The sequence below is a fragment of the Homo sapiens genome, chromosome 21 (assembly GCF_000001405.40).
Source record: "Homo sapiens chromosome 21, GRCh38.p14 Primary Assembly".
NCBI classification, from domain to species: Eukaryota; Metazoa; Chordata; class Mammalia; order Primates; family Hominidae; genus Homo; species Homo sapiens.
In genome coordinates, this window is record NC_000021.9 from 36060564 (window position 1) to 36073268 (window position 12705).

Genomic DNA, 12705 nt, shown 5'->3' on the forward strand with positions numbered 1-12705 from the left:
TCGCGCATGCGCAGTGTTCGCGGACTCGCCGCCAACGCCCAGTACAGTCGGGGACGAGGTCGGCACACCCACAGCCCCATAACCCCTACGTCGAGTCAGGGGTCAGAAAACCCAGTAACCCGCAGGCGAGCAAGCTGCGCACTGAAAAGCCGGCCTGCGGAGTCTTTCCTTACGAAGTTAAACCACCTAGGGCGCGCGGCCCTGTTCGCCCAGACCTCGGGCTTTCCTGCCAGGCTGGGTTTGCCGGGTCGAGTCACTTTGCTCGCCAATCCCCGCCCCCATTCCACCGTTTCATTCTGGCCCCAGGACCCGCCTCACAGGAAAATTCTAAATAATATATCTAAATACCCCTTCTTCCAATAGCGGGAGCTCGATTTCTGCCCCACCCACCCCCACTTTGATTATGGGCTATGCCTAGTAACTTGATTCCAAAGAGTACAGCCTGGAATGGTGTTGGGGACTACAGTGGAGAAACCTGGCAAACAGTACCTTACCGGGTGGTCAAGGATAACATCAGGAAGAAATCATGCTGATAGCATGTTCCTGTGGTGTCTCTCTCCAAAACCCTTCTATGGAAATCTTCTATGGGGGAAAAAAAATTAGTACTCCTAAACATGTTTTCTGTCATGAAAAACAAGTACAGTTGTCCCTTAGTGTCCGTGGGGGAATGGTTCCAGGACCCTGCGGATACCAGAATTAGAATGCTCAAGTCCCTTGTATACAATGGTGTAAACCTAAGTAACAAAAGAGGCTCCCTAAAAGAAAATGAGATTTATCTGGGAGTAGCATTGCAATGGGAATATGCATGCCATAGTAAACTGTGTGCGTTTTGGGGGAGGTTGAGGCAAGGAGATGTTTTTAAAAGGAAAATGAAGATTATATGAATTGCTTTAAATCAATTATCTTTGGCTAAAAGAATGAATAACAAAGGTAGCATCAGTCCAAAGTTGCTGGACAGATGTCCTTGCAGAAGGATTTTCTGTGTTTAAGATTGGGCCTTTCTGCAAGGTTAGGGTCTTTTGTGACAATTCTTGTTATGAGGCGTAGTGCATGAGAACCCTTCCTTCAAGGCCTTCCCCAGCTGCATTTATCAGGGTTTTGACACAAGTGACTCCATTTTGATTCTGCAACTTTCACAATGGTGTAATATTTGCATATAACCTATGCACATCCTCCCATATACTTTAAATCATCTCTAGATTACTTATAACATCTAATACAATGTAAATACTATGTAAATAGTGAAGGGGTGGCCTGCCGCTCCACACCTGTGGGTGTTTCTCATCGGGTGGGATGAGAGACTGAGAAAAAAAAGAGACACAGAGGCAAAGTATAGAGAAAGAAAAGTGGGCCCAGTGGACCGGCGCTCAGCATACGGAGCACAAATCCTATTTAAACTACAGATTCTAAACACAAATGATTTTATTCACCCCTGCCCCCCAACACTAAAAGATTTAAACACTAACATAGTTTCTAACAGCTGTAAACTAAACAAATCCTAAGCCCCTACTGACTGAATGGAACCCCTTTTGGCCAAGATGGCCCCAGAAAAAAACTTAGAAACTTAGTTCCCAGCCCTGATGGAATGTGAGGTCAGACATGCCTCATTATACCCTCTCTCTTTTACAGTTTAGATACAACTGGCCAGCATTGATGTTAAAATAGAGACCATGAGACTGATGGAACAGACTTTTTGTGGCAATAAGATACAAAAATTATAAACAAGACCTAAGGCCATTCCAGGAAAGAGTTAAGTCACTTCAAGAATAAATTCTGTTCTAATGGTTACAAGTTTTTTCTTTTTCTCTAGCAGCTAAACAAGCACTCACCTCCACCTAAGCAATATTAAAACAATTACCGCTTGTGCACCACCAGATGTTAACTAACCCCCTGTTCCACAATGACAGAGCATCACCATCTTGGACAACCCCCTCATTCTAAAGTGCACCTTAATAAAAAACCGCCTAGGCCAGGTGCGGTGGCTCACGCCTGTAATCCCAGCACTTTGGGAGGCCGAGGTGGGCAGATCACGAGGTCAGGAGATCGAGACCATCCTGGCTAATTCGGTGAAACCCCATCTCTACTAAAAATACAAAAAATTACCCGGGCATGGTGGTAAGCGCCTGTAGTCCCAGCTACTTGAGAGGCTGAGGCAGGAGAATGGCATGAACCCAGGAGGAGGAGCTTGCAGTGAGCTGAGGTAGCGCTACTGCACTCCATCCTGGGCGACAGAGCAAGACTCTGGCTAAAACAAAACAAAACAAAACAAAAACCGCCTAAATCCAAAGGGCATCAGCCTAATGGCTAAGGTCACCATGACCATAAATCACAAATAATATCTTCAACCAGAAACATTCTAAATTCCCCCCTGACCAGAGACATGGTAGCCCCAAGATAAACCCCGTTCCATCTGGGAAGTGGGGAAGATGATAGCCCCGAGATAACACCCCTCAGGGCTGGAAAGATGTCCACCCCAAAATAACCTCCCCTCTTCCCAGAGAGATTCCAACCCTGCCATGAACTTCTCCACACACATAAACATTCCAAGCTTGTGGTAAGCCCCCTCACCCTAAAACCAATACATACTCTTAGTCTCTAAGAGAAAGAGTTCCTGACGGAAACAGGCCAGGAGCACCTGTCAGGTTTCATATAAGGTAAACCTGTCTCTAACTGCCAGCCGCGTTTAGTGTTCTTACGTCTTTCTTGAACTCTTATATTTGGTGCGGAAACCCAGGCCGGGTGCTGGGGGCAGAGGCTCTCTTGCAACCCAGGAAGCAGTGGGCAACCACAGCTGGTCCTGAGCTAATTTCTGGATCCTGAGGGTCTCGGGCCACCCGCTCCATCTTTTCTCTCACTTCACTTTTCCCTCATCCTCTCTTTTCCCTCTCTCTCTTTCCTTCTCTCTCTCTCTTTCTTTCTCTCTCTTCCTCATGCGGCTGCAGTCCAAGAGGCCCTTTGCCAATTCCAACTGGAACATCCAACATCGGACACTAATCCAGCCAACTGGTAAGATCTGCCCTCCCCTGGCTTTCTCGCGGTACCCGGGAAAAGTCAGGTTGGCCGTCCGGTCCTCAGAGGACCAGCAGAACTAAGCTAGAGGAAACCTTGGGGACGCCCAGTTTCTTCTCAACTTGACCATCCTCTTTAGTAAGAGGATTCTGGGTCTCTGTCTTTTGTCTGGGAATGCCTAGAACAAAAACAGACACCCTCTGCTTCTTCTCGCCAGTCCACATGGATGCCAAACAATCCCACATCCCTACACACACCACAAATAACATCTCCAACCGGAAAGATTCCAAACTCCTCCCCGACCAGAGACATGCTAGCCCCTAGATAAAGCCCCCTCCAGGCCAGGAAGATGCTGGCCCCAAGATAACCCCCCTCCAGGCCAGAAAGATGTCTGCCCCAAGATAACCTCCGCTCCTCCCAGAGAGATTCCAACCCTGCCATGACCTTCTCCACACACATAAATATTCCAAGCTTGTGATAAGCCCCCTTACCCTAAAACCAATACATACTCTTAGTCTGTAAGAGAAAGAGCTCCTGACCAAAATGGGCCAGGAGCGCCTCTCAGGTTTCATCTAAAGTAGACCTGTCTCTAACTGCCAACGCATTTTTGCTTCTTTCCTCTTTCTCTAACTCTTACACACAAGCCATAACTACAGCTTTGATTAGACAAGAGACTGATTTCAACAACTTTCTCCTGATAAGAAGATCATGGACTATGGAATGGACTGGTTCTGGTTTACAGAGGCTGTGTACTTGCGTGCCTTGATGTCCTGAAAGACCTTTTGACAGATAGGGCCTAATGGTAATACATTTAAATGTCAAGTCACCATCCCAAAGTGAATATACATGAGTCGTATGTTACATGCATGTTTCTTCAATATGCATGTATCAGGACCACCTTCATGAATATTCACAGCTCCTCCTGTAAACTGTTGAATGTGTAAGTTTAGCCAACCTGTTCAGTCTAAAGCTCCTGCCTCAAAGCCTCCCCCTTCAAAGTGCCCGTCTCTGTTTCTGCTGGAGTCAGCTCCCCAGCCTCCAGGATGGCTACCTTGCAGGTTGTACCCGTTTAGAAGAAATAAAGTCCCCATCTCCTTTTCTTTTTTTTTTTTTTCAGAGACGGAATCTTGCTCTGTCCCCCAGGCTGGAGTGCAGTGGTGCGATCTCGGCTCACTGCAAGCTCCGCCTCCCGAGTTCACGCCATTCTCCTGCCTCAGCCTCCCGAGTAGCTGGGACTACAGGCGCCCACTACCACGCCCGGCTAATTTTTTGTATTTTTAGTAGAGACGGGGTTTCACCGTGGTCTCGATCTCCTGACCTCGTGATCCGCCTGCCTCGGCCTCCCAAAGTGCCGGGATTACAAGCGTGAGCCACCGCGTCCGGCCTCCTTTTCTAAATTTATACATTGTGAGTTGTTTTTGGTTTTTTCTTTTTTTTTTTTTTTAACACAGCTCAAGGCTGCATGGCTAGGATGACCCTATCACCCCTAGGATGACTCTAGCCCCTTCCTGAGAATGTTTAAGCTGCCAAAAAAAAGAAAAAATGTGTTTGTAATAACCAACTTCTGACAATAGGCCCCTGACTGCCCTTTCTTAAAGCATTTACTAAAAACGGCTTAGAGCTGTGAATTCTCTCGGTCCCTTTGAGATGTATCTCCCACCCAGGAGTGTTTCTTGGCCAGGTGTGGTGGCTCACGCCTGTAATCCCAGCACTTTGGGAGGTGAAGGCAGGCGGATCACCTGAGGTCAGGAGTTCGAGACCAGCCTGGCCAACATGGCGAAACCCTTTGTCGACTAAAAATACAAAAAGTTAGCTGTGCGTGGTAGCACACGCTTGTAGTCCCAGCTACTCGAGAGGCTGAGGCAGGAGAATCTCTTGAAACTGGGAGGCAGAGATTGCAGTGAGCCGAGATCGCACCACTGTACTCCAGCCTGAGAGATAAGAGAGAAACTCCGTGTCAAAAAAAAAAAAAAAAGAAAGAATGTCTTTCTCAAGGACCTGAAAGCCATTCCTCTGAAATGTAATCATCAGAAATGATACGGCCTCTGTCTTTCAGTCTTTATAGTGGGAGAATAGAATCCCAACTTTGCTAATTGCCAGCTAACAGACACAGCTGGCCTAACCAACATTTCCACTGAGCAACCCTTGGCAATTTGTCATTTCCCTAACTCCTCCCACTTCCTGATCCTTCACTCTCCCTTTAAAAGGCACAGTCATCTCTGTACAAATGAAAGTTTGTTTCCACTGGACCCTCTTTCCTATTACAGGAGTTCATTATTGACTAAAATCTGTCCTTACCACCTTAGTGTCTGGCTTTATCTTTCACAGAATTCAGTAAATTGCTTGAGTTAAATAACTACTAAGCACCTAAGCCACAGATTGATTCCAGGTCTCAAAGTCCATGGTCTACCGCTGTAGAAAGGCTTATTGAATATCCTAAACAAGCATAAAATGCAAGAGGAACACAGCCAGTGTCAAGCAGATCCGTGAGGGTAACTAATCAAAGGAACGACCTGGAGAACCTCACAGTTCATAATTTAACAATATTATTTTCCAACATCTTTTCTTTTAATATATACCATGGAACTGTGTTTTGGGCTTTTTTGTTTTTGTTTTTGTTTTTAGATTCGGGGGTACATGTGCAGGTTTGTTACATCAGTGTATTGCCTGATGCTGAGGTTTGGGCATCTAATGCTCCCAAGTAGAAAACATAGTACCCAATAGTTCGTTTTTCAACCCTTACCCCCTCCCTCCCCCTTTTGGAATCCCCGGTGTTATTGTTACCATCTTTTGTGTCCCTGTGTACTCAAATGTTTAGCTCCCACTTATAAGGGAGAACATGCGTTATTTGGTTTTCTGTTTCTGCGTTTGCACAATAGCCTCCAGCTGCATCCATGTTGCTGCAAAGGAAATGATTCCATTCTTTTTTGTGGGAACTATGTTCTTTAGTTGCTTTAAACTAGTGGGTAGTAGTGCTCGTTTGGGCAGCACATATACTAAAACCGGAATGATACAGACAAGATTTAGCATGGTGCCTGGGCAAGGATGACATGCAAATTCATGAAGCGTTCCATTAAAAAAAAAACAGTGGGTAGTAAAGATATGAATTCATTCCACAGGTTAATTGATGTGATAAAATTCTTTATCTATATAGCATCCAATATAGTCTCAGACCTTTGATTCTCACAACTAAGGCATGTCTTCCAATTTAGCCAATAGCAGTAATAGCAGAGATCTGGAAACTCCATCTTTAAATTTCTGTTTTATTTCTTAAATTGTTCAGAATCCAGACAAGGTGCTACATATTGGAGGCTCTTCACACATACCACCAGAATCAAGACCCAGATGTAAGAGAGACAACAATACAAAACCATCCAAGTAGAGCTTAATTCACAGGCTTTAAATTATGCTTTTCAAAAACAAATTTTCAAAAAGTTTCCCATAGTCAAACCCATCAGACATTTATGATTCTTCCCCTATTTTTATGCTTATAAAAGAAAGCATTTTCCCCTACTGAAAATAAAACTTTTACTTTTGTTTTCTTTTAGTTGTTTTATGGATTCATTTATAAATCACTGTTTCTCTCTCTTCGGAAATTATTTAGTGTATGTTGTAAGGGATCTTTTTTCTTTCCAATCATTATGCCCTTTCCCCAGTGCTAATTTTGGAATAATTCTTTCCCTCACTAGTTGTTAAACCACCTTTATCATACAGTAAATTCTTGTTAATATATATTTTATATATTTTCCGGAGCATCCTGCCTAATGTACCTGTCAATTCTTATGTTGGTTCCAGTCCTAAAAAAATAAATCAGACTCAAACTCATGATTCATAGTCCTCATAGGATTTGCCTTTTGAAACAGCAGGACCCTCACCCTGTCCAAAGTTCCCTGTACACCATGTGCTATTGCTGACTGGCCCTCTTAATAAATTTAATCCATCCACTCTAACACTAACTCACACCAGCTACAGAAGACAGTAGCTAGTGCAGTGGAGAGAACCCAGCCAATGACAGACCCAACACGCACACACTGGGATAGGAAAGAAAATCCAAAACAGAGCTCTGAATTATCCTGAGTGGAAAAAAAAAAACCAAAAACAAAATACTACAAACTGTATGACTCCATCTATGTAACATTTTTGAAACAACAAACTTGTAGAAATGGTGAACAGATTAGTGGTTGCCATGAATTAGAGTTGGTTTGGGGAGTAACAGAGAGGTATGTTTGGTGATAAAAGTGCAACAGGAGGGCTCTTTGTGCTAATAGAAACATTTTCATTTAACTATAGTGGTGGATACACAAACCAACATTTGATAAAATTATATAGGACTAAATACATACACAAAGTACACATCAAACTGGGGAAATCTGAGTATGATTGGTGGACTGTTTTGTTGTCAATATCTTCACTGTGATGTTGTACTATACTTTTGCAATATGTTACTATTGAGTGAAACTGAGTAAAGGGTAAGGAATCTCTGTATTATTTCTTACAACTGCATGTGACTCTATAATTAGCTCGACAAAAATTTCAGTTGAAAAAAAGCAAGGGTCTTTCCTTGATTATTAACTTGTTTTAAAGCAACTGATTGGAAACCTACCTTGAAATTGCAATGTAATTGCAATCTATTTAAAGCAGTGGTGTTCAACAGACCTTTCTGCAAGGATGGAAATATCCTAAATCTGTACTGCCCAATACAGTGACCACTAACACATGCACATATTGAGCACTGGAGATGTGGCTAGTGCAACTAAAAAACTGAATTACAAATTTTGCTTAATTTGAATTTATGTTTAAATGGCCACCTGTGATAGTGGCAACCTATGGGACAGCACAGAAATGAAACTTGACCTTATTCCCAATTCCCTTGTAAGTAGGAAGGAGGAACACTCACTTTGAAACCATGCAATTGTCCCATAGGACAGATGTTTATGGTCTCTTTTTTTTTCCTTTTTTTTTTTTTTGAGAGGGAGTCACTCTGTTGCCCAGGCTGGAGTGCAGTGGCATGATCTCGGCTCGCTGCAACCTCCGCCTCTGGGGTTCAAGCAAGCAATTCTCTGCTTCAGCCTCCCAAGTAGCTGGGATTACAGGCGCCTGCCACCACACCCAGCTAATTTTTGTATTTTTTTTTTTTTTTTTTTTTTTTAGTAGAGATGGGGTTTCACCATCTTGGCCAGGCTGGTCTTGAACTCCTGACCTCATGATCCACCCACCTCAGCCTCCCAAAGTGCTGAGATTACAGGCGTGAGCCACCGCGCCAGGCCTGGTCTCTTTTGAATAAACAAATTGACCCTCCCAGTCTAAAAACTTGAGAAATTTACATTTGTCTTATCTGAGTTCCTTTCTCAGGGAACTAGCCATCAGTCCTCCCAGATAGCACCAAGGAACTGAAACTTATCGGATCACCACATCTGGAAAATCAGACACCAGACCCCTCACCTGCAACAATTGCCTGATGCCTGTTGACCCACTCCTCTTCATCTCTCCCTAACTCCTGCTATTTTCCCACATGCAGTTACATTTCTTCCCTGCTATATCCTAATTTTAATCAGTTGAGAAGATGGATTTGAGACTGATCTCTCCCCCCTAGGCTGTAGCACCCAAATAATGCCTTCTTCCCTGACAATAATGGGGTCTCAGTGACTGGCTTTCTGTGCTGTGAACCACCAGACCTAGACCAAACTCCTGGCATTTCTCTAACAATTTCCCACCACTGAACTAAGTTATAAATTCTGAGGATGGATCCCTGTTTCTTCATTTTAAGATGGGGATTAAAAGGTACATCCTAGAGTGTTATTGTCCGTGTAAAATAGGGCTGTGAAACCCCCTACACCTATGCACAGATAAACTGATGGCCCTGCAAATGCCCAGAGAAGTAACCTTATAAAGATTTAGTGAATGTTTCCCACCATTATTGGAAAATCTGGCTAAGTCAGTAGCTTTGTTTTCATATACTTAGGGGGAAAATCAACAAAAACTTGATGCCCTGTTATTTCCTTCCAGTTTCTTCTGCAACTCTAGCTCCAAAGACTGCAGTTCCTGCAGTATTTTTTTTTTTAGAACACCAGGAAAAAAAGAAAAAAAAACCATGCAAATGTACTATTTCTTCAAACACAACTAGGAATGATTGAACAGCTGGGAGAATATGAAGAAAACCCCTCAGAGAACCAAGGGCAAGCAGTGAGTTCAGATCTAGGCACATGGCCACTAGGAATGGTTCTTCACTGCCACGTGGGCAGCCAACAGCCAGTAGCTAGAGACCAGCCTCGGTCTTCGGCCTGCGGGTTCTGCAAAGTCAGGCTAGCTGGCTCTCCGCCTGCTCCGCACCCCGGCGAGGTTCCGGTGGGGAGGGGTAGGGATGGTTCAGCCCCGCCCCGCTAGGGCGGGGCCTGCGCCTGCGCGCTCAGCGGCCGGGCGTGTAACCCACGGGTGCGCGCCCACGACCGCCAGACTCGAGCAGTCTCTGGAACACGCTGCGGGGCTCCCGGGCCTGAGCCAGGTCTGTTCTCCACGCAGGTGTTCCGCGCGCCCCGTTCAGCCATGTCGTCCGGCATCCATGTAGCGCTGGTGACTGGAGGCAACAAGGGCATCGGCTTGGCCATCGTGCGCGACCTGTGCCGGCTGTTCTCGGGGGACGTGGTGCTCACGGCGCGGGACGTGACGCGGGGCCAGGCGGCCGTACAGCAGCTGCAGGCGGAGGGCCTGAGCCCGCGCTTCCACCAGCTGGACATCGACGATCTGCAGAGCATCCGCGCCCTGCGCGACTTCCTGCGCAAGGAGTACGGGGGCCTGGACGTGCTGGTCAACAACGCGGGCATCGCCTTCAAGGGTATGGGGAGGGGACGTGGCCTCCCCGAAGAAGAACCGATGCACTGGGGCTCCTGGCGTCTGCGGGGTCCATAACGCCTCCCTAGGGAGGAGAGGGAGGAGCTAGGAGATGCAGGGAGTGCAGAAACCTTGGAGAAAGTGAGAGTTTTCCAGCCAAAGGGAACTTTGTGTTTCCCTGGCTGGGACTCTTGGGGATCTTTTTCAGGTTTTCTGCAGTTTTTCTGAATTGAGCTTTAAGGCAACTGGATGGATTTTGAACTGATTTTAAAATAAACGACAAATTGCAAAAAGAAAAAATGGTTATGCCAAGATCCAGTGTGTGCACCCTTCATCCTCCTTCCCCCAATGGTGCCATCTTACAAAAATACTAGAACATGATCAAACCAGGAGATTGACATTGGCACAATACTGTAACCAGATACAGACTTACTTTAGGCAGAGGGCACTAAGTTTTTTTTTTTTTTTTTTTTTTTTTTTAGTATCATTGTATAGAATTTTACCCCATGGGTACAATGTATTAACTATGTTCTCTTTCTCTCCTAAAAGTTGCTGATCCCACACCCTTTCATATTCAAGCTGAAGTGACGATGAAAACAAATTTCTTTGGTACCCGAGATGTGTGCACAGAATTACTCCCTCTAATAAAACCCCAAGGTGAGTCTGATGGGAAACAGCGCACCTTCTCTTTGGGGCTTGATTTGGCCCCTGCTTGCCTGGGATTTCTCCTGCAGGCTCCTGCTTCCTCTCCATGCTGCACGTGCACTGACCTCTGTGCTTTTTCTCCTGCCAGCTGATATGTGCCATTTTGCCTCAGGACTTTGTCCTCACTTCTCCCACTCCCATGGCCATTCGTCCTCCCTGTCGCACTGGTCTTTGCACACCTGGCTGACTCTCATCCTTCAGGTCTTAGCTCAAACGTCTCCTGAGAGATGCTCTTTATTTGCTCCATTCCCCTCTGCGTGGGAGTCCATCCTGTACCCTTTCTCTGCTCTTTCAGAGAGATCTTATTCAGGCTGGTGGAGGCTTTACTACCACCAGTTCATTAGGCCCTTCTAATACCTGTCACCTGTCTGAAACACTCCTTAAGCTCCCAACCACATGGTTGTCTTGCTGCCTTTCCATCTCTTCCTGATGCCTTTCCCCACAATCTAAGATATTTCCAGAGGATCCCTATCCTTTTCCCTAAGTCGTTTGGGACACAGACCCCACCACCCACCCACCAGGATCCTGCAGGTCACCATGCCCCACCCCTCATAATCATTTACTAGGTCCTAGGAGTTGTGCCCACTGAGTTCCTCCTGAATCCGTCTCATTGCAGCTCTACAGCAGGCCCTCACCTGTCCCTCTGGACAATTGCAAACCCTCACAAGGCACCTCTGGTCTTGAGTCTTTTCCTCTTTTCCTTTCCCAGCATCCTGCGTACTGTCTGCATGGTCATGCCTCTCCCAAAATCCTTCAGGAGGAAAGTCCAAGCCCTTAGCATGGTTCACAGAGATGTCCATAATCTGCCGCTGCTTAACTCTGGGCCCATTTTAACTCCCCTTCAACGTGCTGAAGGTGCTGGACATGACTATCACATGTCTTTGGTTGTAAACTGCTGTGATAGTTACCCTAAGTAATGGGACAGGAGATGAACCCACCCATTAAATAACACAGCAATTAAGCAGCCACTTTTAGAAAAATTTAAATGTGTGGCTTCGAGTTGGGTACTTGCATGTACAGCTTACTCTCAGCTTTTATCCTGTTTCCCTGTCCTGTCGTCCTGTTAAGTTGTGCTACTTCTAAGGCTCTGGTTCACCAGGACCTCAAAGGGCAGCTCTTCCAAATCTCACCTGACTCTACTCAGCCAAAATTCGAAGGCAGGAATGAACTTCTTCATGCAACTACCACCACACTTTCTATGCGTATTCCTCTTAGAACTCATACCAGTAACTGTCTCTCATATGAAAATTTTCTGCTCCAAAATCCCTGCAAATTTGGCATTCACCTCTCTACGGGATTGTTGCACACCTTTCTACATAATGCTTTGTGGTGTATCTTAGGGAGAGTGGTGAACGTATCTAGCATCATGAGCGTCAGAGCCCTTAAAAGCTGCAGCCCAGAGCTGCAGCAGAAGTTCCGCAGTGAGACCATCACTGAGGAGGAGCTGGTGGGGCTCATGAACAAGTTTGTGGAGGATACAAAGAAGGGAGTGCACCAGAAGGAGGGCTGGCCCAGCAGCGCATACGGGGTGACGAAGATTGGCGTCACCGTTCTGTCCAGGATCCACGCCAGGAAACTGAGTGAGCAGAGGAAAGGGGACAAGATCCTCCTGAATGCCTGCTGCCCAGGGTGGGTGAGAACTGACATGGCGGGACCCAAGGCCACCAAGAGCCCAGAAGAAGGTGCAGAGACCCCTGTGTACTTGGCCCTTTTGCCCCCAGATGCTGAGGGTCCCCATGGACAATTTGTTTCAGAGAAGAGAGTTGAACAGTGGTGAGCTGGGCTCACAGCTCCATCCATGGGCCCCATTTTGTACCTTGTCCTGAGTTGGTCCAAAGGGCATTTACAATGTCATAAATATCCTTATATAAGAAAAAAAATGATCTCTTATCAATTAGCACTCACTAATGTACTACTAATTGAGCAACCTACGCACTCAGTTGACTACGTAAATCTGTCAGGTCTTTTGTGATTTCCTCTGATGCAGGAGAGGAAAAATTGTAATTGATGAAAATAATGAATGAAAATCAACAGATGAATAAATGGTTCTTTATAAGTGTCCATTTGTACAGATTGTTTAGATGCTAAATAAGCTTTGTCTCAAGTACAATCAACCTAAAAGGTCAAGGGAAGGGACAGTACAACTTGGGGGTGAGCAAACCC

General features: G+C 45.6%; 1 protein-coding gene, 2 long non-coding RNA genes and 1 pseudogene across 4 annotated transcripts in view, besides 1 other annotated feature; 3 read left to right on the forward strand and 1 right to left on the reverse strand.

The window, feature by feature from the left end:
- On the forward strand, positions 41-4113 carry SETD4-AS1 (SETD4 antisense RNA 1). The gene is made up of 3 exons (NR_186380.1): positions 41-58; positions 2943-3006; positions 3654-4113. It is a non-coding gene; the product is annotated as an SETD4 antisense RNA 1 (long non-coding RNA).
- On the forward strand, positions 5982-6089 carry RNU6-992P (RNA, U6 small nuclear 992, pseudogene; annotated as a pseudogene).
- The window catches only part of CBR1-AS1 (CBR1 antisense RNA 1), a 56999-nt gene continuing 53372 nt past the window's right edge, over positions 9079-12705 (reverse strand). The window contains exon 4 of the long non-coding RNA NR_040084.1: positions 9079-9922. This is a non-coding gene — a long non-coding RNA (CBR1 antisense RNA 1). The remainder of the gene's footprint in view (positions 9923-12705) is intronic.
- On the forward strand, positions 9461-12601 carry CBR1 (carbonyl reductase 1). Of its 2 annotated transcripts, none has more exons than NM_001286789.2 (3): positions 9461-9841; positions 10387-10494; positions 11252-12601. In NM_001286789.2, exons 1-3 carry the CDS (start codon positions 9553-9555, stop codon positions 11374-11376), a joined length of 522 nt encoding a protein of 173 aa, NP_001273718.1. In that variant the 5' UTR covers positions 9461-9552; the 3' UTR covers positions 11377-12601. The 2 variants fall into 2 exon arrangements, with proteins under 2 accessions (NP_001273718.1, NP_001748.1); NM_001757.4 differs by having other exon boundaries at positions 11883-12601.
- Positions 9517-9766: an enhancer, noted in NCBI's record as "active region_18423". NCBI's record gives its function as "activates an Ori minimal core promoter by ATAC-STARR-seq in GM12878 lymphoblastoid cells {active_cell/tissue: GM12878}" and the evidence as "EXISTENCE:reporter gene assay evidence [ECO:0000049][PMID:35858748]".